This window comes from Homo sapiens, chromosome 18, assembly GCF_000001405.40.
Source record: "Homo sapiens chromosome 18, GRCh38.p14 Primary Assembly".
Lineage (NCBI taxonomy): Eukaryota > Metazoa > Chordata > Mammalia > Primates > Hominidae > Homo > Homo sapiens.
Window position 1 is genome coordinate 55,783,197 of NC_000018.10, and position 26,832 is coordinate 55,810,028.

At 37.1% G+C, this 26,832-nt stretch overlaps 1 long non-coding RNA gene across 5 annotated transcripts in view; it reads left to right on the top strand.

Annotated features, from left to right (window-relative positions):
- Window positions 1-26,832, top strand: part of LOC105372130 (uncharacterized) — a 177,123-nt gene that overhangs the window by 117,920 nt on the left and 32,371 nt on the right. The window contains exons 3-6 of one of the 5 annotated variants that reach the window (XR_007066382.1): window positions 1,703-1,778; window positions 3,390-3,460; window positions 5,417-5,565; window positions 8,521-8,702. This is a non-coding gene — a long non-coding RNA (uncharacterized LOC105372130). Of the gene's footprint in view, window positions 1-608; window positions 1,779-3,389; window positions 3,461-5,416; window positions 5,566-5,950; window positions 6,070-8,520; window positions 8,703-26,832 lie in introns of those variants that run through there. The other 4 variants (XR_935487.3, XR_935489.3, XR_935488.3 and 1 more) reach the window with 4 other exon arrangements.

Genomic DNA, 26,832 nt, shown 5'->3' on the forward strand with positions numbered 1-26,832 from the left:
CAATTCATTTTGTCATAGGTGAGGCTTACCTCTTTCCTGTCAGTTCTTCACCTGTACAGATTGCTTCCTTTTCTCTTTTTGCACTTATTGTTTGCAACACCCAATGACTTCTTGTAGAGAGCCCAATTCTGTAGTTGATAAAACCCACACATGCACGTATGTTACATCTGGCTCGGAATTGGAAGCTCCATGGAGAAAGGAAATGGCTTTTGTTTCTTCAGTATCTTCACACTCCCAAATGTGCTGATATCTTTAGTCGTTCTTAGCTAAATGAGTCAATTGAAATAATAATCTGGAGGGATTTTTTTAAATCTCAAAAATTTTCTAAGTCCCATGTCTCTTAAATGAAAAATTGTCAAATGAAGGAGCCATTTTCAGGATTTTAATTTATGTATTAATGGTACTCTACTTCCACCCCAAAAGGATTTAAGGTGAGCTTAAAATATTATGAAAATAAGATAAGATTATTAATTCCATCCATGCAAGCTCTAAAATCTTCTATTTCTAGATACTAATCTAAACAATGAAGAGGTTATTTTTTAAAGACAAAAGGTGTGCTTTATAATATCTCTCATTATCATGTTAAGAAAAAAAACCAAAAACACAGATAAAAAATTTCAGAAATATTTTTGCGTTTTCTTTGCATATCATACACATACACACACACACATACATACATACACAGTCACACTAGAACTGTACTGGCAGTGAACATAGGTTGTTTAAAGTATAGCTATTCAACTGTCATATAAAGTGAAATCTATATTTTCTCTCTCCCTATATGACTATATATTTAACATCTCTATGCATATGTGTGTGCATACATATGTATATGTTATATACACACACTCCACATTATTATTTCAAAGGGGATTTTGCTCCTTCTGGCTACCAGCAATAACTAGTCAATATTTACACTCTTGAATATCGATGACATCATGCATACACAGGAAAGCTGTGGAAAACATCTCCATTTTCAAACAGAGTTTTAATTATTTGTAAAGACTTCAATTGTTCACTAATGTCATGGATTGGTCCTCACAGTGTGAAGTGCAACTGCCCAGATCCCCCACAGTATTATAAATAGTCTTCTAAAGCCGGGTTGATTGATGTTTGGCATAAAACTCTATTCCTCTGAGCACATATATTCCTTCTGTTCACTATTTTCATAGAAAAATACCAGGGCTGATTTTTTATTCAAATCTCCAATTTATGCAGGGTTTAAACTACTAAATACTTAAAGCCGTTTTCAGATCTTTCCCCCCTTTTCTGTTAGGTAGGTAACTAAATCTTTGGCTTCAATGCAAATAAGAATTGGAGATTTAGCAGATTCCTGTGGGGGAGAGGAAGAGTTTATTAATTATATTGAGAATCAAATAATATGCTTCTTTGACACTAATGTTCCATCTTTCTCCACCCCAAGTATCCTATGGGACAACTTTAAAGCCTTTATCAGGGTCTAAATTACTGCATTTATGGTTCCTTAGAAGTAGGAATTTAATGAATGGCATTCTGAGTTGAAGAGAGAATTTGAAGGTTTAAGCTGCAACGGTGAAGCAATTTTTTTCAAAGTATGTGGCAGGGATTGTAATATAAAACATCAAAAAAAGCACAATAAAATACATTTTCATGAGTGTTAATAAATTTTTAATACTGATGAAATGTAAATTTTTCCTTCATGACCCTTATCTGCATTTGACAGAGTCCAACAGAAAATTTTAAGTACCTGTTTAAAGCAATTTACAAGATACTGTGGAGATTCCCAGCAATAAAGAATGGTAAGTGATCTTCTTAAAAATTTTTATATTGACAATATTAAAACCAAGTACCTTATCCAGATTCAACTGGTTTTGGCCAGTGCCTGTATTGGTACCTTTATCAAGAGTGCATACTTACTTTATAGGCTCTATATTAGAAACAAATTCTGCTTGAATACAATTCTGAAAGTGCTGTTACCTGATGGATAGCAATAATTGTTAATTATTATATGATACTTATTACATGCCAGACACTGTGCTGGGCACATTCCATGTATGATTGCATTAAGTTTTTGTAACTATAATCTTCTCTCAGTATCTGTAGGAGACTGGTTCCCGGACCCCCGCAAATACCAAAATCAGTGGATGCTCAAGTCCCTGATAGAAAATGGCATAGTATTTATATATAATCTATGCACATTTTCCTGTATACTTAAACTATCTCTAGATTATTTATAATACCAGATATAAGGTAAATGATATGTAAATACTTTCTATAATGTGTTATTTATGGAATAAAGAAAAGAAAAAAAGTCTGTACCTGTTAAGCACAGACAAAATATTTCCCCCATATATTTTCGATTCATGATTGGTTGAATCTACAGATGTAGAACCTGTAGATATGGAGGATTGATTACTCCACGAAGGAAATTATATTATTATCACAGTTTAAATGATGAGAATTCTGAGGCATAAAGAGTTAAAGTGGTTTGCCTAAACTTACCTGCTTAGTAAGGATAGGAACAGAGCTCTTAGGATAGTGGACAGTCTGACCCCCCTATGCACTACCTTAGGAGTCAGTGAACTTTTTCCATAAAGGAACAGAGAGTAAATATTTTAGGGTTTGCAGGCCATGCAGTCTTTGTCACAACTATTTAGCTCTGCCACTGTAGTGTGAAAGCAGTTCTACATAATATGTAAATAAATTGTGGTGTTCTGTTCCAATAAATCTTTATTTAAAAAAACAAAAACCAAGTGGTGGGCCAGATTTGCCTTATGGGCCATAGTTTGCTGGCCCCTCTGCTATTCTATTCTGCCTGCATCCTTGGTGCAAAGAAAACCAACCAAATGGACATCACGTTGGAACAGGTAAATCTCTGTGCTGGTTCTGTCTTCTGAGTAGGCAAAAGCAGAAGATGTGAACTGAGGGCCTCAAAAACTGCCTCCCACCTTGGCATTTGACCCTAGGCATCATTGTTGGACACTTTGGAAGGCTCCAGTTAGAACATACTTATAGGCTGGGTGTGGTGGTACATGGTTGTAATCCAGGCTACTCAGGAGAGTGAGGTGGGAGGATCTCTTGAGACCAGGAGTTTATGTTGACCAGCCTGGGCAACATAATGAGAGCTTGTTTCTACAAAAAAACAAAACAAAACAAAACAAAAACTTAAAAATTAGCCAGCGCGGTGGTGTGCACCTATAGTCCCAGCTACTTGAGAGGCTGAGATGAGATGATTGCTTGAGACCAGGAGATGGAAGCTGCAGTGAGATGTGATCAGGCCATTGCACTCCAACTCGGATGACAGAGCAAGGTCCTGTCTCTCTGAAAAAAAAAAAAAAGAATGTACTTGAAAGGATAATGTCTTGCATTAATGTATGTGTCCTAATTATTATTGCATTGTGGTTTACTAGTACTATAGTTAAGCTGGAATCCAACTCCTGAATTTCTGGAGCCCTGAAGACCACTTAGTCTTACTCACAAGGTGAGCTTTCTTCGTTCTCTAGGAATTATTGGAGCCCCAAGTTACACTTACTGCAGAGCCTATTTTGTTTAATTGAAGTTTTAATCTGTTTCCCTGGATCTGTGTGGCTGAGATGGTGACTCACTGGTTTTCTAGTCCACTGGCTTGAAGATACGTCTTACATTTCCAAGTCTCTGAACCAGATAGGCCAAGGATTAAGTCTCATCCACCTATTGGCCAACTTTTCTGGTGCTGGCTGCCTCTGTGGAATTCTATTTCCACCTGCTCCTAGATCCTTCATTACCACAGTGCATCCATGGCCATGTGTTAGGAAGTAGATACTATTTCCCCTGCCAGTGTCAACCCATTGTGCTCCCCATCAGATGCTGTATTCTTCAGGACAAATCAAACTTCTTAGCCACTGAAGCTTATCAGGAGCAGCCAGCCAGGCCCAGTGGACAGATGAAAGCCCAGTCTCCTGGGTCCTTTCAGCTGGCTCTGTCCAAGGTAGGCCATGGGGCACAGATAGCAAAATGGGGTGGGGTCAAGAAAGCAAGCTCCCTTACCCTACAGCTTTGCCTAAAGTGAAATATTTCCTTTCTCTCATACTCAAAAGCTAAATAAGATGACTATAAGAGTATTCTTATTATAAGAAAATTGCACAAGGATTTGGCCTGACATTTCTCTGAAATATCAGAATAATGGGAATACAGTTTTGGCCTGACTAGCAAAATTTCAGATGCAATTTGGTGAAAGAAAAACCAAAATGATAGTTGATAATTAAAAAGAACCAAGGTGAAAACTTAGCTGTCATATGACCAACAATGCTTTCTCTCCTCTTTCCATACAAACATCTTTTAAAATCAATTTTTATCAAAAATCTCAGTGATTATTTTGTATTAAAGAATTAAGTGGATTTTTTAACCAGGAGGAAAATTCTCTAGTGTTGGGTTTAATCCTTAAATACCAATCAACAATTCTTTTAAAGTTCTTTAAATCATCACAAGATGAAAGAATTCTTTGGATTCAAAGCCAAAGAAGTAATCCCTTGTCTTGTGTATGACCAAAAAGAATGATTGTAAGCAATGAGCCCTGCTTTTAAGTAGATTATAGTGTCACTGGGAGATAAAATTGACATATGAGAGACAATTATAACAACTAAATGGTATGGCAGTCATAGTTTATGAGTTTAGAGTAGAGAAGGATGACTAAACACGGGAATAAGTGCTTTGCAGAGAAGGTTGGGTTCAAAGTGGTTGACAGGAAGCCACTGATGGTTTTGTATGAGGGAATGACCCAAATGTCAGTTCCTTGAGGTTAGAGGTGCCTGAATCTTTTTGATAACTCAAATAGAAGGCACACGTTGTGGCATAGAATACGTGCTTAAGAAAAGTTCTTTTAGTATGAAAATGGAATTTTAAGGAGATTAGTATGTGGTGCAGACCATATGTTACAGAGATTGAAATTAGAGAAAAAAAGATGGCAACCTTTTTGATGACCAGTAGTGTGTCTTGATTGTTTTTGCCAGTCAGATGTGTAACAGCTACCAGTACTAGGTAAGCTCTCGAGACATATTGAGTAAATTCAGCAAATTAGTCCTGGACATCAATTAGCAGGTTTAAAAAATTGTCTTAATATTCCAAAAAATGTGAACTCCAAATTTAATACAAGGAAGTTGATCTCCTTTCTTGAGTGAAATGAAGGAATGATTGTATGCTGTACTTTCAAGGAAAGTAGCATAGTAAAAAAAACTCACGGGCATGGGGGTCAGACAGATCTCAGCAAGGAACTTGGCCATATCAGTTGTTTGTTTGTTATTAGCTGGGTGAGCTTCAGTGAGGTCAGTGTTCTATGCTTCAGTTCTGTAACTTGAAAAATAGGGACAATGATGTATAAAATATCAGCACAGAATCCGGTACAAGGTAGATCATTCATAGATACTAGATACTCATTTCATTTTTCTTTCTCCTCCTATAGAATTGAATGGAATGTGAATCTACACTCAGGTGAAGCCAGGGTATTTTGAACGTCCCTACAAGACTGAAGCACCACTGGGAAATAAGTAATAGAGATGCCATCATTGTGGAGGTCATAATGCTTGTCCTGAACACGAGGGGTCTCTAGTGGTGAGTACAAAGGGGAAAGCTCTGAGCACTGAGTAAGCCTGGTGGAATATTCACCATTAGTGCTCAAGAGGCAAAAGGAAAGAAGATAGTATTAAAAATAAATAATAAATAAAATTTAAATGCAATGGAAGGCAAACGAGCAAAAGAGACCATTCATTATTGTTGGTCAATAAAAATATACAAATTCTTTAGATTTTGCAAAGTCATTTCATTACACATGGACGTATTTACTAGTGAAAATGGGTCTTAATGAAAGCTTAAAGTGAGCTAGCTCTGTTCAACTAAAAATGAGTTTCTTTTATTCCTCATGTGAACAAGAAAAAGGGTCTGTTTAGTTAAGCAGAAAAGTACTGGGAAACATTTGCACATGTTGTTTTTTCTGCAGTGGGGGAAACAAGCTTAACAGAGGATTGAAAGCTGATGCCTCCAAACTGTAAGGAGAAGTTTGTGAAGCCTAGAAATTTTCAAAGGAAATTGGCACACAGGCTGTTCTCATGGGCAACAGTAGGTGGAACAATTGACTGAAGTCAAAGTAGAGTTTCTTGCTCCACAGAGACCACCTTTTTACTGCTGGCTTCTCCTTTTTATTCTCTTTCCCAGTCCTTGTCCTGGATGCAGGAGTTGCACTGAGAGAAAAGTTGCAGCATCTCCTAAGGCCCTGAGGTGCATTCTGTGATGGTTCATTCTTGGCTAGAGTGGCCTTGTCCTGGAAATGACTATGTAGCCTCCTCCGAACCCAGATCAGTGCAGCGCACTGGAGTATCAGCTTTGTTTGTGATCTATCAGTTTTTTCTTTTTCTTGCCACTGTCCACATGTGATCACCTCTGTCTTTAAAATGAAACTGCTGAGTGATTTGCCAAGGTTGCATGAAAAGGCAGATTGTAAAGCTAAGATTAGAATAGAGGTCTTCAGGCTCCAGGAGTTTGTTTCTGTAGACCAGTGATCATCAACAGATAGGAGACACAACTTCTCCACCTCTCTGCCCCAACTCGGATAGAATGTCATAATCTAGGGGAAGAGAGTGTAGTTTCGAAAAACACTTAAAGAAAAAATCCTTCTAAGTACCTACTGTTTTCACAACCAAGCCACCCAAAGTTTTCTGTTCAAAATCTTCTTGGTTAGGGGACAAGCAAATGTTGAACGTGGTACTAGTGACCATGTGGCTGCCACAGGGACCATGGCTTCAGAGACACAAAGGAAAGTGAAGACTGAGAAATATCCCCTGGATTTGCCAGATAGGAAGCATTTGGTAATCTTTAAGAGCCTAGTTTCAGTACTGCAGTGAAAATGGAAGCCAGGTTGCAGGAATTAAGAAAAGAATAGATGAGGAAAAGTGCAGGCTTGCATGAAACAGAGAAGTAAAAGTATGGAAAGAAATTGAATTAGAACGTTTGGCAGGATCAAGGCTTTGTCTCCTGGCCGACTGGGTGGGGAGTCCCCACCCCCAGTTCCTCCATCTCTCTCATTTTGTGCACTGTTACTTAGCAGTTTACATAAAAAGGCAGAGGGGTTATATCTCCATACATTGATATATTTAATATATTAATAGATTTTTTTTTCTATCCTTGAGGTAATTGCATTTCTTTACTTGTTTCCTGAGGACATCCTCCTGATCTCTGCAACCCTCCCTTTTCCCTATCCCAGGACTAGACAGCTAGACAGTGAGTCACCCAGAACAAAGGCTAAAAATATTTGAAAATCCTCTGGTCTTAGTGTAAATCAGAAAGATTTGAATGCATACTTGTTGAGTGAGTTTTGCTGCCTTTAGAGACTAATCTAGTTCAGAGTTTTAATTATATATCCCCAGGGGCAGGGTAAGAGGAGGGGGAGAATGCACTATAGAAATAGAGAGCAGGAGGTGAAGGAACTACAGATCTCTACCAGGGAAGGCACTCTCTGTCCCCAACCCTGGTGAAGTGCATGGAAGCCCACTTAGCACCCAGCTGCCCTTCTCACTGACCATGAGTAAGAGCCATCTTTGAGCAGCATTTAATATGGCACTCTAGAGCTAGGTTTGTGTATTCCCGAGACCCTGCCCAGGCCTCATCTATCTTACAACAACCCTAGGTGTGGGGCTTAAGGTGGTGATAACAAAAAAAAAAAAAGAGGAAGCCCCTGCTTCTCTCCAAAGAGGCATTAGCTGGAGCTAGACTGAACTCTTCCACAGGACAAGGAAAGTGGTAGAAGACACTATCCTGTTATGTATGTCTTCATGAGTAGAAGTGGGTCTTTCTCATTGTACTGGGCTATTCTTGAAGGCAAAAATAATATCTTTTTACCTTTGCATACTCAACAGCTGGATAGTACTTGGCATAGAGCTTAATTAATGTTTATTGGATGACTAAATGAGCAAATGGCTGATTGACAAATACATGAAAGTGAAAATATTTAGAGGTAGGAGGAAGTAGCCAAAGAGAGAGACAGAGGAGAGGTAAAAGATGTTAGTAGAAGGAAGAATGATCGTTTAAACTGAGCCGAGCAATGATCGGGGCAGAAGAGGTTGAAGAATAGATCCAAGTTCGTTCAGAGCTTGGAAAAAGGGATGAAATGAAATAAGGTTAGTAGTCTCTGATATGTTGAAATGAAAAAAAAAAGCCATATTCTTAATTGCCTTAGTTAAATTTAGTTAACACTAAATTTATCTTCTTTATAGTTCTATTTCTGACCATAATACATGCCTTATACAGTTGACAGGTAAGAAATAGTCAAGATGGTCGTAGCCTCCATAAAAGATAAAGGCACAGGGCTATAATTTAAGTCTTTTGGTATTCATATATAGAGAAGCATGTCACCACCACCATTAGATAACTCTCTTTATGATCTAAAGACAGAATTCTGCTGTAAGAGTATGTTCCAAGTGCCAGATAGAATGTGTGCTCTTCTACTTTTGAGAGTGGTTTCATGTTTACTCATTCACTAATTTTTCACTCTGGGCCCTGTATTCACTCATTTAGAGGCACCAATTCAGCTCCTCTTCTGTGGAGAGACTACATGGGTGCTGAAGAAACAAAGACACAACGCAGCTCCTCTCAAAGGAGTTCAGAGCTTAGCAGGGGAGACAGAACCATGAATGCATAGTTACGCATCAATGTGCTGCACGAGCACTGAAGCCCAAGCACAAGCGGCCTGAGTCCCAGTGAGTCTAACCCCTCCCCATCCTGCCCTCCCACACCACAACCCAATCCATCCTATTGACTGCCTGCTTTATCCCCCATGCTGCTCTCAGCCTGGACACTGTATCCAGAATCCTGGGCTCTAGCAAAGACTGGAGCTCTGAAGCTCTCCTTGGTTCTCCCAGTCTCTCTCCCAGGAGCTTAGATCTTGACTCCTCCCTGGTGAATACAGCTAGACCCTGTGCTCTGAATTTTGCTCTACTCCAATGCCACTTTGTTCCACTTGTTGTTCAATCCTAGTTTGATCTAGACAAGACCTTTGGACACTAGCTTTGGACTGCCTGACTACTCTTGCTGGAGGCTGTTCTTAGCATTTCTCTCAGATCTTGTCCTCTGTTCTCATTGAAGCTCTCTGCTCCTTCATGCAATGTCTTGCTTTGAGGTCTCCCAGCTTGTCTCAGGTTAAAGTCTGTCCAATATAGCTTTGCCCCTTAGGCCTACACTGTCATGATCCTTGCGGATACCTCTTTTGGCAGGGAAACTTCCTTAGATCTCTCCAGAAGGGAGGAGCAAGATTTTGCTTCTGTCAGGGATAGCCCATATACTGAGGCCTTGTGGGCCTACAAATGCAGTCATTAGCATAATTCTTCTTTTTTTTTCCTTTTGAGACAGGGTCTTACTCTGTCTCCCAGATTGGAGTGCAGTGGTGCAATCTTGGCTCATTGCAACCTCTGCCTCCTGGGCTCAAACATTCCTCCCACCTCAGCCCCCTGAGTAGCTGGGACTACAGACATGAGCCACCACACCCAGCTAATTTTTGTACTTTTTTATAGAGATGGGGTCTTGCTACATTGCCTAAGCTGGTCTTGAACTCCTGGACTCAAGCAATCCTCCTGTCTTGACCTCCCAAACTGTTAGGATTACAGGCGTGAGCCACTGTGCATGGCCCATTCACAGATTACATTATAAGAAGCAGAAGAAGACTAGTGAGATATGAAGTGACGTGTAACTCACTCACTAACTCTACCATGTGGAAGTCAAATGCTTTGTGTTCACTTCAAGGGAAAGTATAAAATTGTGGATTAAATAACTTAATGAAATATATATGTATATGCCTGTGTGTGTGTGGGTTTGTGTGTATGCATATATTAGTGGGAAAGATGGAAATGAAAATCAGTATTTCTTAGTCTCTTACTTTAATTGTTAGGTCATGCCAATAAATTTCAACATATACTTTTTTGGTGTGATAGGGTTATTTAATTTAGAATATGACAACGTTTAAGAAAAAATGTTCTTTCTGTAATATTACCCCTTGATTTACTGAAGCTTTAGGATTACTTTTGTTAAACTCATTTGCCAATATGCCTCTCAATGTTGTATTTCTCTGCAAGAATAACAGCTTAAAACATAAAAAGACACCACAAAAAAGAAGAAAGATGATCTTTCAAACCATTTTTTTAAATTTTTATTTATTTATTTATTTATTTATTTTGAGACGGAGTCTCACTCTATAGCCCAGGCTTGAGTGTGGTGGTGTGATTTCGGCTCACTACAGTCTCTGCCTCTCGGGCTCAAGTGATCTTCCTGCCTCAGCCTCCCAAGTAACTGGGAATACAGGCATGGCCCACCAGTCCCAGATAATTTTTGTATTTTTGCATTATTATTATTTTTTAATAGAGATGGGGTTTCACCACATTGGCTGGGCTGGTCTCAAACTCCTGACCTCAAGTGATCTGCCCGCCTAGGCCTCCCAAAGTGCTGGGATTACAGGCTTGTGCCACCGTGCCTGGCCCCAAACCATTTATTTTGGAGGCAAGTGTGCTATTTCAAAATCAGAGTACTTAGTTTCAAGCCTTCAATTCTGTTAAAAGATAAATAAATAAATATATATATTTTTAAAGTAAGCAAAAATAACTTCTTTATTGTAAACACAGTATTACTGAAAATTCAAATAATTTTTGAGCTGATGGAAAAATAATTGTGAATCATCAGTTTGTCAGATGTCAACATCAGCTCAAACAAATTTGGACTGACTTCTTAACAGGTTTCTGATAGCTGAAGTAGTGGAAGTCCAGAAGGCAGATAGGGAGGAACAAGTGTAGATAGATGACCGGTTTGGAATAAATGGCATCTTGCTGCTGAAACAAGCTTCACACGTTAACCAGCAACCGTGAGGTTCCTGACTTTCCTGATCCCCAGGAGATGCTTACGCTAGGGATAAATTTCTATGTTGAAGCATTTGACAAGCTTTAGTTCCTGATGTCTCACACTCAAGCCTTACTTTATAGTCACATCTGTTAGTTTAAAGCATTTTTAGTTTATTGAAGAAGGCTTCACAAAGAAAAAACAGATGATGAAAATCTCATCTGTCAAAACTGTTATTAAAACCAGTAACAGTGTGAAATTTTGTTTAAATTGAAAGCATCATTTATTTTTATCAAACATTTTATAAACAATCACATTTGAGAAAGATTTGGGGGACCTGGAGAGCCCTCAACAAAATGCAGCTCATTATGTTGCTTTGTTTAATGTGTAGCTTTGAGATGGCTGGGGCTGCCTCCCTTTATCTTAGTGTGAGCCCGGAAGGGTGAGGAAATTACCAAGGAGCAGGGGCTCGCCCACCTTGATGAGGGAGAGTGAGCAGGGAAGAGGAGTAGCCCTTAAATGGAGGCTGAAAAGCAATATTGTGTTGGCAGACAACAGGAACACCTGACTGGCCCTTTTCTGATGGATTAGGTAGAGTGACATGGCCTGAACCTTGAAGCCCCTGAAAGAGTTTAGGAAAAATAATGAAAAAGAAAAAAGAAGAAAATTCATGGAAAGATTGAGTAAGGCTTCGTTTCTTTTCCTCTCTGGGTAGACAGCTGACTTCGTGCTCAGATCTGCTACTGATATCAAAGGGTGTTTCACGGCCAGAAAGAGTAAATGACACCCTTAAAAAAGAAAACAAGATGAACATCAAATCCATTTAGTCGAATCTTCATTCAATCCAGATGTTTGGCAATGTAGAGACAAAACATCCGCCACTTTGCTATTGTGTAGACTTGGCCTTAGAATATACAAAAGATCCAGTTTCACATTCTTAACTGGGCTCATAGTTCTTTGGCTGTTTGGTATTAGCAGCTTGGAAAGAGAAAACACGTCTAAGGAAAGTAGAACAGTGTAAATCTGAATGATTTGTCCAAGCAGTGACCTTTCCTTCCTTTTTCCAGGTGATGCTGTACTTAATTTTGTCACACTTGGAGATCATCCCCTGGGGGCCAGCAAAAGTTTCCCCATGGGGTATGGGGTACTGGAATGGGGGCACACAGGGTGTTAAAAGGCTTTCCAGATCCTCAAGTTCCCATTCACACTCTTTCCTAAGGCTGCCTGGTCTAAGAATGGGTCTAGTTCTTCCATATCTGCCCTTTCTCAAGCCCTCCTTCTTCCACCTCTAAAACAAAACAAAACCAAAACCAAAACCTTCTCTCTGGATCCCACTGGGAAGTGTTCCCCCAACGTGTGCAGAATCTTCAGCACAACCAAAAAAGGGACTTGAGAATCTTTGAAGCCTACTAAAATCAAGACCTCAGTCTGTGCCTTATCTGCCTGTATTGCACAATTTCAAAGAGAAGAAGGTGAAAATTATATATTTACTTCCCAAATACCAATATTGTGTTTTCTAGAAAAAGGATCACATATTAGTGTTAAGTTTGTATTTATATTTTGTGAACATTTATTCAGGGCCGCAGAAAAAACATTTTCATTAGCTTTTGCAAGATTATTGTGTACTTTAAGCCTCTATTTTATTTTTACTATAAGCACAAATATCCTGGTCTCTACTAGCCTCTTTTCTGCTCACTTATTTATTTAACTTTTGCCATATACTTATAACAGAAATGTCTTGTTGGTTCTACTCCTTAAAAATCCATTTAACAACACTAATTAATGTACTTTTTGTAAGTTCTGAACTTCCTGTGGCCCAACCCTTTTTCAGAATTGCTGTTGATTTACTCTGAACCCTGCATCGCTCTAGCTATAAGCTATATTTATCCATGGAAACAGAAACTAATTGGGAGAAAAATCATTATTTTTTTCATTAAAAGATGCATTTCCAATAAAAATTTATTACATTCAATCATGTTTAAATCAAAAGTTACATTTATGTTTGATAAATTGTGGATTCACAGCCATAATAATTCAGAAAAAATTTTGATAGTATTCGGCATATCGTTCATTTTTATTTCAAGAAGTCACATGAAGTAAAAACAAGGTAAACTTTCCCATTTGTATACATATTTTTGTTGCATAGAAAATTGTTTACTGAAAAGTTGAGCAAAAGACTTTCAAGCATATATTTGTTAAGAAAAAAATTCATGAGAAAAATGGAATGGAAATATAAGATCAAGGGGAAAATGATACAAATTTTCCATTAAAGAAGTGTTTGTCCATGTATTTTATAAATGTATGATGATGGTTATGGAATTCTGCTGTGTATCAATTAGAGTCCTGGTGGAGATCAGGTGACACATTTCAGTTAGAGAAACTGAACTGAGTTTACTAAAAGAAAACTTACAAAGTGAAATCTAATTGGGAGTGATGGGGGAGGGACAGCAAAGTCCTGAAGGTGTCACGGGAGGGAACTGCCTCCAGTTCCTGGAGAACATGGCTGTAGCTGAGGAGAGAGCTGCATTGTAGTAGCTGTGGCTTTTGGTAGACCAAGGGGGCAAATCTGTATTCTAGAAAGAAGGAAATCTGGGGTATCTGACCAAAGTTTCCACATATCCTCTCGTCTCCAGCTAGCGCCCCCCATTGGTGAAACCCAACCCCTGAGAAGTGGTGATAAACCTCAGGCTTCTACTTCCCACTCCCCAGCTTCACCTCTCGCTTCCAAGCTAGTTCTGTTGAGGTAGAAAGGGAAAATGATGTCATGATGTGACCATGCAGAGCTAGCTTGACTCCTCACAACTCTCTTCTGGGTTTTCTGATTGCCCACAGAGTTGTGTGGAAGAACAGGTGCACTTTTCCAGTATGCCTGAGAAGGACAAGAAAATTAGCTGAGCAAAGACTAGGTCTTGGGACAAAAACTGCATGCATTGATAGAATGCAGAAATTCCAACATCTGAAGCCCGGACATTCCCACCCTGAAATCCTGGCTCAATGTTGTCTCCCCTAGAACTCAAACTTCACTCTGGAGAGGAAAAGCAGAGGACAAACCTTAATGTGACTAAGAAAACCCTAAATTGGCTAAAATGACCAGATTTAAGTTTCTAGTATTACACAGAATAGGGATTCAAATTAGATATTTCTCATCCTTCAAGATGCATCCTTCAGGACTTCCATGAATTCTTCCCTGTCTTCATCATTTTCTGTCTCCATACTTCTGTTCCAACTGTTCAGTGATTATTAAATTAAAAGTGTTTGTGTGCTTGGATTTCCCTCTTAACAGGGTAGATGCTGTGTCTTATATTAGCTGAGGAGAGAGCTGCTTTGTGGTAGCTGTTCATGGGATGGAACTGTGTTCTAGAAAGAAGGAAATCTGGAGAATGAATACCCTGACCCCAGTCTCCACTTGTTCTCTGCTCTATGTGCCTACTGCTTAGTGCAATGCCTGTCATGTAGTAGGTTTTCATATTTTAAAAAATTAGGTCAGAACTCATGTTCAGTAGGTACTCATGTTAGTGTTCCTTTTTTAATCTGTGGTAATGTTACTGTTCTGAAGCCTACTTTGCCTGATATTAATATAGCTATTCCAACTTTCTTATGATTCATATTTGCACGGTGTATTTTTTTCTGTGTTGTTACTTTTAATTATCTGGGCCTTTATACTTGAAGTGAGTTTCTTGTAGACAATGTATAGTTAGGTCTTGATTTTTCACTCATTTCAGTGATTTATGATTTTTAACTGAGAGGTTAGACTATTTATTTTTTAATATGATTGTTATGGTTAGGTTAAAATCTATTATCCTTGCTCCATCTGTTTTTTAAAAGACTCCTTTTCCCCCCTCTCTACCTGTCTTATTTTACTTATTTTTTAATGTTCCATTTTATTTCCACTACTAGCTTACTAGCTACACGTAGCAGTTGCTTTAGGGTTTACAAAACACATCTTTCACACATCACTGTCTATCTCCAAATCATATTATACTATTTCACATATAATGTAACAGTCTTACACCAGTATACTTTGATCTCTCAATCCCATCCTTTCTTCTATTATTATGCATTTTATATCTTCATATTTTATAAACCGCATAGTCAGTTGTTGTTTCTGCCTTAAACAGTCAATTATTTTTTAAAGAAAAAATTTAAAAACAGGAAAAATTTAGTCATTTTTATTTCTCCACAAATTTATCATTTTAACTGCTCTCCATTCATTTTAGTAAAGTCAGTTTCCATCTGGTATCATCTGCCTGAAGAATCTCCTTTAATTTTTTTTGTATTGAAAGTCTGCTGGTAAAATATTCTGTTTTTATTTTTCTTAAGGTCTTTATTTCACCATTATTTCTGAAACATATTGTACTGTGTATAACGTTCTAAGTGGACAGCTGTTTTTGTCAGTTTCTAAAATATTTTCTTTTAAGAAATCTGCTGATAGCTTTATCTTTTGTTAACTTTTTATTTTTTATTTTTTAATTTTCTTTATTATACTTTAAGTTCTAGGGTACATGTGCACAACGTGCAGGTTTGTTACATATGTATACATGTGCCATGCTGGTGTGCTGCACCCATTAACTCGTCATTTACATTAGGTGTATCTCCTAATGCTATCCCCCCCACCCACCCCACAACAGGCCCCGGTGTATGATGTTCCCCTTCCTGTGTCCAAGTGTTCTCACTGTTCAATTCCCACCTATGAGTGAGAACATGCAGTGTTTGGTTTTCTGTCCTTGCGATAGTTTGCTAAGAATGATGGTTTCCAGCTTCATCCATGTCTCTACAAAGGACATGAACTTATCATTTTTTATGGCTGCATAGTATTTCATGGTGTATATGTGCCACATTTTCTTAATCCAGTCTATCATTGTTGGATATTTGGGTTGGTTCCAAGTCTTTGCTATTGTGAGTAGTGCCGCAATAAACATACGTGTGCATGTGTCTTTATAGCAACATGATTTATAGTCCTTTGGGTATATACCCAGTAATGGGATGGCTGGGTCAAATGGTATTTCTAGTTCTAGATCCCTGAGGAATCGCCACACTGTCTTCCACAATGGTTGAACTAGTTTGCAGTCCCACCAACAGTGTAAAATTGTTCCTATTTCTCCACATCCTCTCCAGCACCTGTTGTTTCCTGACTTTTTAATGATCGCCAATCTAACTGGTGTGAGATGATATCTCATTGTGGTTTTGATTTGCATTTCTCTGATGGCCAGTGATGATGGGCATTTTTTCATGTGTCTTTTAGCTGCATAAATGTCTTCTTTTGAGAAGTGTCTGTTCATATACTTTGCCCACTTTTTGATGGGGTTGTTTGTTTTTTTCTTGTAAATTTGTTTGAGTTCACTGTAGATTCTGGATATTAGCCCTTTGTCAGATGAGTAGATTGCAAAATTTTTCTCCCATTGTATAGGTTGCCTGTTCACTCTGATGGTAGACTCTTTTGCTGTGCAGAAGCTCTTTAGTTTAATTAGATCCCATTTGTCAATTTTGTCTTTTGTTGCCATTGCTTTTGGCGTTTTAGACATGAAGTCCTTGCCCATGCCTATGTCCTGAATGGTATTGCCTAGGTTTTCTTGTAGGGTTTTTATGGTTTTAGGTCTAACATTTAAGTCTTTAATCCATCTTGAATTAATTTTTGTATAAGGTGTAAGGAAGGGATCCAGTTTCAGCTTTCTACATATGGCTAGCCAGTTTTCCCAGCACCATTTTGTTAAATAGGGAATCCTTTCCTCATTTCTTGTTTTTGTCAGATTTGTCAAAGATCTGATAGTTGTAGATGTGTGGTATTATTTTTGAGGGCTCTGTTCTGTTCCATTGGTCTATTGGTCTATATCTCTGTTTTGGTACCAGTACCATGCTGTTTTGGTTACTGTAGCCCTGTAGTATAGTTTGAAGTCAGGTAGCATGATGCCTCTGGCTTTGTTCTTTTTTTTTTTTTTTTTTTTTGAGACGGAGTCTCGCTCTGTCGCCCAGGCTGGAGTGCAGTGGCGGGATCTCGGCTCACTGCAAGCTCCGCCTCCCGGGTTCACGCCATTCTCCTGCCTCAGCCTCCCAAGTAGCTGGGACTACAGGCGCCCGCCACTACGCCTGGCTAATTTTTTGTATTTTTAGTAGAGACAGGGTTTCACCGTTTTAGCCGGGATGGTCTCGATCTCCTGACCTCGTGATCCGCCCGCCTCGGCCTCCCAAAGTGCTGGGATTACAGGCATGAGCCACCGCGCCCGGCCTGGCTTTGTTCTTTTGGCTTAGGATTGACTTGGCAATGAGGGCTCTTTTTTGGCCCCATATGAACTTTAAAGTAGTTTTTTCCAATTCTGTGAAGAAAGTCATTGGTAGCTTGATGGGGATGGCATTGAATCGATAAATTACCTTGGGCAGTATGGCCATTTTCACAATATTGATTCTTCCTATCCATGAGCATGGAATATTCTTCCATTCGTTTGTGTCTTCTTTTATTTCGTTGAGCAGTGGTTTGTAGTTCTCCTTGAAGAGGTCCTTCACATCCCTTGTAAGTTGGATTCCTAGGTATTTTATTCTCTTTGAAGCAATTGTCAATGGGAGTTCACTCATGACTTGGCTCTCTGTTTGTCTGTTATTGGTGTATAAGAATGCTTGTGATTTTTGAACATTGATTTTGTATCCTGAGACTTTGCTGAAGTTGCTTATGAGCTTAAGGAGATTTTGGGCTGAGATGATGGGGTTTTCTAAATATACAATCATGTCATCTGCAAACAGGGACAATTTGACTTCCTCTTTTCCTAATTGAATACCCTTTCTTTCTTTCTCCTGCCTAATTGCCCTGGCCAGAACTTCCAACACTATGTTGAATAGGAGTGGTGAGAGAGGGCATCCCTGTCTTGTGCCAGTTTTCAAAGGGAATGCTTCCAGTTTCTGCCCATTCAGTATGACATTGGCTGTGGGTTTGTCATATACAGCTCTTATTATTTTTAGATACGTCCCATCACTACCTAATTTATTGAGAGTTTTTAGCATGAAGGGTTGTTGAATTTTGTCAAAGGCCTTTTCTGCATCTATTGAGATAATCACGTGGTTTTTGTCTTTGGTTCTGTTTATATGATGGATTACATTTATTGATTTGCATATGTTGAACCAGCCTTGCATCCCAGGGATGAAGCCCACTTGATCATGGTGGATAAGCTTTTTGATGTGCTGCTGGATTCGATTTGCCAGCATTTTATTGAGGATTTTTGCATCAATGTTCATCAAGGATATTGGTCTAAAAATTCTTTTTTTTTGTTGTGTCTCTGCCAGGCTTTGGTATCAGGATGATGCTGGCCTCAAAATGAGTTAGGGAGGATTGCCTCTTTTTCTATTGATTGGAATAGTTTCAGAAGGAATGGTACCAGCTCCTCCTTGTACCTCTGGTAGAATTCGGCTGTGGATCCGTCTGGTCCTGGACTTTTTTTGGTTGGTAAGCTATTAATTATTGCCTCAATTTCAAAGCCTGTTATTGGTCTATTAAGAGATTCAACTTCTTCCTGGTTTAGTCTTGGGAGGGTGTATGTGTCGAGGAATTTATCCATTTCTTCTAGATTTTCTAGTTTATTTGTGTAGAGGTGTTTATAGTATTCTCTGATGGTAGTTTGTATTTCTGTGGGATCAGTGGTGATATCCCCTTTATCATTTTTTATTGCATCTATTTGATTCTTCTCTCTTTTCTTCTTTATTAGTCTTGCTAGCCGTCTATCAATTTTGTTGATCTTTTCAAAAAACTAGCTCCTGGATTCATTGATTTTTTGAAGGGTTTTTTGTGTCTCTATCTCCTTCAGTTCTGCTCTGATCTTAGTTATTTCTTGCCTTCTGCTAGCTTTTGAATGTGTTTGCTCTTGCTTCTCTAGTTCTTTTAATTGTGATGTTAGGGTGTCAATTTTAGATCTTTCCTGCTTTCTCTTATGGGCATTTAGTGCTATAAATTTCCCTCTACACACTGCTTTAAATGTGTCCCAGAGATTCTGGTATGTTGTGTCTTTGTTCTTATTGGTTTCAAAGAACATCTTTATCTCTGCCTTCATTTCGTTATGTACCCAGTAGTCATTCAGGAGCAGGTTGTTCAGTTTCCATGTAGTTGAGTGGTTTTGAGTGAGTTTCTTAATCCTGAGTTCTAGTTTGATTGCACTGTGGTCTGAGAGACAGTTTGTTATAATTTCTGTTCTTTTACATTTGCTGAGGAGAGCTTTACTTCCAAGTATGTGGTCAATTTTGGAATAGGTGCGGTGTGGTGCTGAGAAGAATGTATATTCTGTTGATTTGGGGTGGAGAGTTCTGTAGATGTCTATTAGGTCTGCTTGGTGCAGAGCTGAATTAAATTCCTGGATATCCCTGTTAACTGTCTTGTTGATTTGTCTAATGTTGACAGTGGGGTGTTAAAGTCTCCCATTATTATTGTGTGGGAGTCTAAGTCTCTTTGTAGGTCTCTAATAACTTGCTTTATGAATCTGGGTGCTCCCATATTGGGTGCATATATTTAGGATAGTTAGCTCTTCTTGTTGAATTGATCCCTTTACCATTATGTAATGGTCTTTTCTCTTTTGATCTTTGTTGGTTTAAAGTCTGTTTCATCAGTGACTAGGATTGTAACCCCTGCCTTTTTTTTTTTTTCCATTTGCTTGGTAGATCTTCCTCCATCCCTTTATTTTGAGCCTATGTGTGTCTCTGCACGTGACATAGGTTTCCTGAATACAGCACACTGTTGGGTCTTGACTCTTTATCCAATTTGCCAGTCTGTGTCTTTTAATTGGAGCATTTAGCTCATTTACATTTAAGGTTAATATTGTTATGTGTGAATTTGATCCTGTCATTATGATGTTAGCTAGTTATTTTGTTCGTTAGTTAATGCAGTTTCTTCCTAGCCTTGATGATCTTTACAATTTGGCATGTTTTTGCAGTGGCTGGTACTATTTGTTCCTTTCCATGTTTAGTGTTTCCTTCAGGAGCTCTTGTAGGGTGGGCCTGGTGGTGACAAAATCTCTCAGCATTTGCTTGTCTGTAAAGTATTTTATTTCTCCTTCACTTATGAAGCTTAATTTGGCCAGATATGAAATTCTGGGTTGAAAATTCTTTTCTTTAAGAATGTTGAATATTGGCCCCCACTCTCTTCTGGCTTGTAGAGTTTCTGCCGAGAGATCAGCTGTTAGTCTGATGGGCTTCCCTTCGTGGGTAACCCGACCTTTCCCTCTGACTGCCCTTAACAGTTTTTCCTTCATTTCAACTTTGGTGAATCTGACAATTATATGTCTTGGAGTTGCTCTTCTCGAGGAGTATCTTTGTGGTGTTCTCTGTATTTCCTGAATTTGAATGTTGGCCTGTTCATTTTTTAATAATGTGAAGTTTTTCCTTCCTTTCTCTCTCTCTTTTTCTTTCTTTCTTTCTCTTCTTTCTTTCCTTTCTTTCTTTCCTTCTTTCTCTTTCTCCCTTTCTCTCTCTTTCTCCTTCCTTCCTTCCTCTTTTTCCTTCCTTCCTTCCTTCTTTCCTTCTTTCTCTCTCTTTCCTCCCTCCCTCCCTCCCTTTCTTTTTTTTTGACAGGGTCTCACTATGTCACCCAGGCTGATGTGCAGTGGTGTGATCTCAGCTCACTGCAACCTCCACCTCCCGGATTCAAGTGATCCTCATGCCTCAGCCTCCTGAGTAGCTGGGATTACAGGCATGCGCCACCATGCCTGGCTAATATTTGTATTTTTCCTACAGACAGGTTTTCACCATGTTGGCCATGCTGGTCTGGAATTCCTGGCCTCAAGTGATCTGCATGCATTGGCTTCCCAAAGTGCTGGGATTACAGGCCTGAGCCACCACGTCTGGCCCAATAATGTGACTTTTTTTTTTTCTCTCATTGCCTTTATGATATTTCTCTTTGCATTGTTTTCCAGCAATTTGATTATGATATGTTTTGCCTTCCCACCCCCATTTTGCTTGGGGTTTTTTGAACTTCTTGGAGTTGTGGATTACAGTTTTCATCAAATTTGGAAGTATTTTGGTCATTCAAATATATATATATTTTTTATTTTTTTGGTCTCTCATTCTACTTGTCTCCTGGGATTTCAGTGGCACTTATATTTGACAGTTTGATTTTTTCTCTCAATCAGTGAAGGTCTTTTCATCTTTCTTCTTTTCTCCCATGATGTTTCATCTGTCATTTTTTATCTTGTTATGTCATCAAGGTCATTTATTTATTTTGATTCTGCAGCATCTAATATTCTGTCAATTTCATCCATAAAATTTTCATTTCAGATTTTGTACTTTTTAATCTCTAGAATTTATATATAGTTTTTTTGTATCTTCTATTTTGTTTCTTATGTACATGCTTTTCTTTAAATTCTTGTGCATATTATGCATATTTATAATAGCTGTTTTAATGTCCCTGTCTGTTAATTCATCCTCTCTTTCATTTCTGATTCTGTTTCTATTGACTCGTTTTTCTTCTGGTATGGGCCATACCTTCTGATTCTTCACATATTGTAATATTTAATTTGATGAAGGACATTGTGAATTTATATTTTGGGTACTGGATTTTGGTGTTTTCCTTTAAAGAATATTAGACTTTGTTCTGACAGGTAGCTAAACTTCTTGTAGATCAGTTGGATTATTTCAAGATGTTAAGATTTATTTTTTATGGCAGATCAAGATTAGCCTATACTCTAGGAGTAATTTAGGCTAATTTCTAAGACATAGCCTTTCTTGGATCTTTTTTGAATTACATATTCAAAAATCTGTCTCCATTCTAACTAGTGGAAATTAAAATTATCCCTGGCCCTTATGTGAGCTCTGCGAATTTTCAAAAATCTTGTATAACTTCATAGTAATTGTCTTTTCCCCAGAAGTTGTTCTCATGTGTGGAGTTTTACCCTTTACATACACAGATTAGTATTCGTCAGAGGCTCAAGAAGACCCCTACTCAAATTTCTGGAGCTCTTTCTCTGTGTAGCTTTCTCTTCTCTGATATTCTGTCTTGCAAATTTTTAGCTACATCTGCCACCCTGAATTGTGATATCTGTCTCTTCAATTCAGCAATGATATGAAGCTCTGCTTGAATTTCCCCTCCCTGGGCTAGAGGTTTGCAAATTACTTCCAGGCAGAATGCCGGTGTAACTGAAAGACTCACCTTATTTTTTCTTTTCTTTCCTTTTCTTTTCTTTTTTTTCTGCAGAGATTATGGTCCTGTGCTGCCAATTGTCCGATGTCAGAAAGCTGTTGTTTCATATATTTTGTTCAGTTTTCTGGTTGTTTATGGCAGGAAGATAAATCTGGCCCCTATAACACTTTCATGGCTAGAAGTGAAAGTCCTTGTGTCATCTTTGATTTCTCTTTTTTTTCCCTTTGCTTCCACATCCAAGTTGTTTTTATTCCCTCCCAAGTTCTATCACTGCAACTTCTCTCATTTCTGTCTTCTGAATAATCACAAGTCTTTTACCTAATCTTTCTGCTTCTAGAGTCCATGCCTCTAATCAAACCATCAACTCATTATCAGAAGAATCTTCTTAAAATTCTTGCAATTATGATTTAAAAATCCCCTTAAAATCTTCAATGGCTCCACTATGGTAGCAGAGTAATTAAGAATTTTTAATATTGGGAGTAAAGCAATTTTAGGCTTTTCTCTTTTGCTTTCATCTCTCATTTTACCTACCATGATTTCCCTCTGCTTTCCTTCCTATCTTACCTTTTCTACTGTGTTTTCTCTTCCCGATATAGTAAAATCCTTTCTATTTTTGTGACCAGGAGAAAATAGTATTTTCTTTTGCAATTCCTTCCTGGATCAAATTTCTTAGGCATTTCCTACTTTTCTGAATTCTGAAAGTACTTTGTTGACATTTCTCATGACACTTTTTACTCTCTACAACTTTATCATAGTCCTTTATGAACACTACTGTTGACATCAAGTATTGATGGTATGTGCTGTGCTTCTTTTTTATGTTTTACTTTCTATAACAAATGTTGGCAATGAATTCCATTGACTCGGTGCCTAATAAAATTTTGCTAACAAAATTATTGCCTATCTTAACATCTTGACATCTTCGTTCTTCAGGTCTGTTGCTTCAACCCCAGAAGAGGAGCCTAATGCTGACCACTCAACTGTGATCAGATTTAAAGGCAACTCTTCCATATCATATTCTGCATCATATCACCATTATCACCATTGGATATCACACATCATATTCACATCACTAATTTGATACATTAAAGACAAATAATTCGATTATCAAGTCATACTTACTGTTTCTCTTTCTTCTACTTTTATATTTGCCAATATTTTTAAGTATGTATTTCATTCTCATTAGATTATCAGCTCTATCCAAATAAAACTTTGATTAGTCCTTTAGTACAGTGCTTTGTATACACAAATAGAGGTAGAATAATATCATTATGATAAGCCTATTTTGTGTGTGTTTTACATAAACATACACATACACACTTTGGCTTACTGAGCAAAGGACATCACATGTTAAGGACTTAATACACTTAAATATGCATACACATATCTATGTATTATGTATGCCTTTAGATAGTGATCAATATATGCGTATTTTATACAAAAATGGAATGTAAATGAGAGTCAGATGATAAGAAAGCAAAAATTTTTTAAAAATTGAATGTAAAAATATTGGGATGTTATTGAATATTAGCTGCTTCATATTAGAAAATAACACTAGAATATTAGCTTTAATATGTACAGCATACATCTGACAGAGATACTTTAGTTTTAGTGTCTCAAATTATAGGGACTCAATTATCTTCTCTAGAAAATACTTGTGTCTCAATCTCATTATCAAAAGACTTTCCACATACTTTGCCTAAAATTACCTTTTCTTCATTTTAATTATACAACTCCAAATCACTTTCCCTCATTAGTATTTGATAATTATAAGCAAAGAAGCAAATATAAGAACAAGAAATACATAAGAATGCAGTCATGCATTTTCCCTTCTTTCTGTTGATAGCACTGACTTCATTGAGATGAAGTGTATTTAATTTCAATTCACTAAATGACCGCATTCATAACTTGAGTTCATTTCCATTTTAGGCTGATTTCTTTCAAATCTGATTCGATATGCATAATTTTTCTTTAAGCATACATAGCTACATTCTTTTAAACTTGTTTTTCATCTAGAGAAGGAGGGAGAAGGAAATTAACATTTATTTTGTATCTACTTTTGACACAGCCTGTTTTTGGCATTTGACATATATCATCTCATTCAGTTCTCTCCTCAATCCTGAGAAACTGAAAATATTATTCTCATTTTAAAAATGAAAATCTGATGGCTAGAAACTAACATGCCCAAGACTGCTTAATTAGGAAAAGGAAGAGTCAAAATTCAAACAAAATCATCCTTTTTCTTTAATCTTTTTCTTTCTTTTTTTTTTAAGTGGCACTACATTGTCCATTTTCAGGCAAAGATTTTGCAGAAAAATCATAGGAGGCTGGGCAGTTAATAATTTTAAAAATCATATTGTTTTATCTGTGGTGTAAGTGTGAAGTCCTTATGTTAAAATGCTTATCAGAACATGACACTTGAACATGTTCCATGTTAGAATTTGGGGATGTCTCAGAATTTGCTGAAGTATGAATGTAGATTCAAAGGGAAACATTCCAAAACTACATTGTGAAGTGATTTCTCTTTTTATCTGAGCTCTCTTTTTTTTCTATTTTTTTTTGGACTGTGATAAATTGATCCAAAGAGCCCACTGAAATTAAACTAGATGAAAACCATCAGTGCATTTAACAAAACCCAGAAGTATGTTAGGTTTGGGGTGACAACCAATGGAGAATGTAAGCACACTCACTTCCACTGCTAGCAATTTGGTTTCATCTACCATGCCACAGGTTTCTCCAGAAGCCTTGCTTACTGGAGTTGTAACCTGCCCCTTTTGGAATTATTAAAACTCTAAGCATACCATTGGGAGACCGTAGATTGTGTATGATGATGATATTTGTTGTTTGGTAACAACATTATAAGCATGAGGTAGTATATAGCATGTATTAAAATTGACTCCAGAAAGTGTGAATTATAATCTCACATTAACTATGTGAGCTTGGTCAAGTCACTTAATTGATCTCTAGTCTGCTTTCTCGTTCATAAAATAAAGATGTTGAACAACAAAATCACCAGTCAAGTTTTCTTTTTTAAAATATTTTTCCCTAAAGAGATAAAGCAGTAAGTGAATGTAATAAAAAATATAAATGATGCAAAAGAAAATACAATAAAAAATAATTCTCCATTCCAGCTTCCTAGTCCTTCTCCTTATATGCAATTGCTATTGACAGATTTTGTGCATGTCGACACACGTTTTCTATGCATTTACAACCAGTTGTTATAGGTATATGTGTGTGTATGTATAACTTTCTTTTTCTTTTTAACTCAAATGGGAATATACTGTAACTACTGTTCAGCTGAATTATATAAAATGATACATATCTTGGAGATTTAAATCTACTTTATTATTTTTAAAAGAAAATACAATAAAAAATAATTCTTCATTCCAGCCTCCTAGTCCTTCTCCTTAGATGCAATTGCTATTGACAAATTTTGGCATGTGGACACACATTTTTTCTATGCATCTGCAATCAGGTGTTATAAGTATATGTGTGTGTATATATAACTTTCTTTTTTTTTTAACTCAGATGGGAATACACTGTGACCACAGTTCAGTTGAATTTTATAAAATGATGCATATCTTGGAGATGTAAATCTACTTTATTATGTTTTAAAGTTGCATAGTATTTCATTGCATGGATGTGCCATGATTTATTTAATCAGTTTTCTATTGACAGACATTTAAGTTTGCCACAATGAACATACTTTTATGCATTATGTTACAGGCCTGTATAGGCAAATAGATATGTAGAATGAATTCCTAGAAATGAAATTACTGTTCTAAATTAATTTTAAAATGAGTTTAGAATAATTCACGCCAGAATTTTTTAGCATAGGAATCTCTTTTTGAAAAGATCATACATATTTATAAAAGTCAAAGAAATAAAGAACAATAAAAAGAAGAAAGCAAAATTTATTCTAATACACAACTAAATAGAAATCACCACTTTTTACATTAGATGACTATCATAACAGATATCTATTAATGCTTTTGTAAAAGAAAGCCAGATAGATAAAATAATTTTTATTTTAAAAAGAACCATGGTATGATAATTTTAAAAGTATATTACACTTAACTTTTATTTGGATCCAGCAGGATAAAAAGAAACTCAGGTGGAACTGAAGGAATCTCTCACACTTTAGATAAGTGTTTCATTGCCACAAGAGACATTAGTTTCCAAAAGTTCCTTCCAAAATTAAAAGGAAGATTCCCAAAATACTGAGGATTAAATCTACTCTTACACAATGTTCTATTTTGTCTTCTGTCCCCAGCAAAGTTTTGTTAAAAAATTTTAGAAAATTTTGTTAAGGCCTATCACTTTACAATCTATTCTGCAATGATTATTCCCTTAGTTTTTAAGCTATATTTCTATATTTAACAGATTTAGGACTCATCACATTTTTTTAAAAAACATGGTTCTTCTATCTTTAATTTTTAAATTTTGATTTATCTCTCAGTTACCTAGATTTAATTGACATTGTTGTTTTTCAACAAAGAGTCATATTACTATTTTTTTCTATGTGCTTGAATGATTGAGAACACGATTCAGCAGTTTTATAGAAAAGGGAAAAATTTACCAAATATAATTGTTTTAGGTCTCATTTTCCCTCAGAATGTTCTAGACATTACTATCTTTTAGAATGGAGAGTTGTAGTGGAAACTGTCTTACTCTTGTTTTACCTTACACCTTGTAAATGTCTTGCTTTGTTATGTGGATGCCTAGACATTTGTTTTTTCATGTTAAAACTCAAAAATTTAATTTGAATACATCCTGATGTAATTTTTCTTCTGTATCAACTTTTCCAGGAATATGGTATACGTTTATGACCTGCATGCTTACTTCTTCCTTCATTCCAAAGAGATTTTTGTATTATATTTTATAGTACTTTCCCTTTTTATTAAATT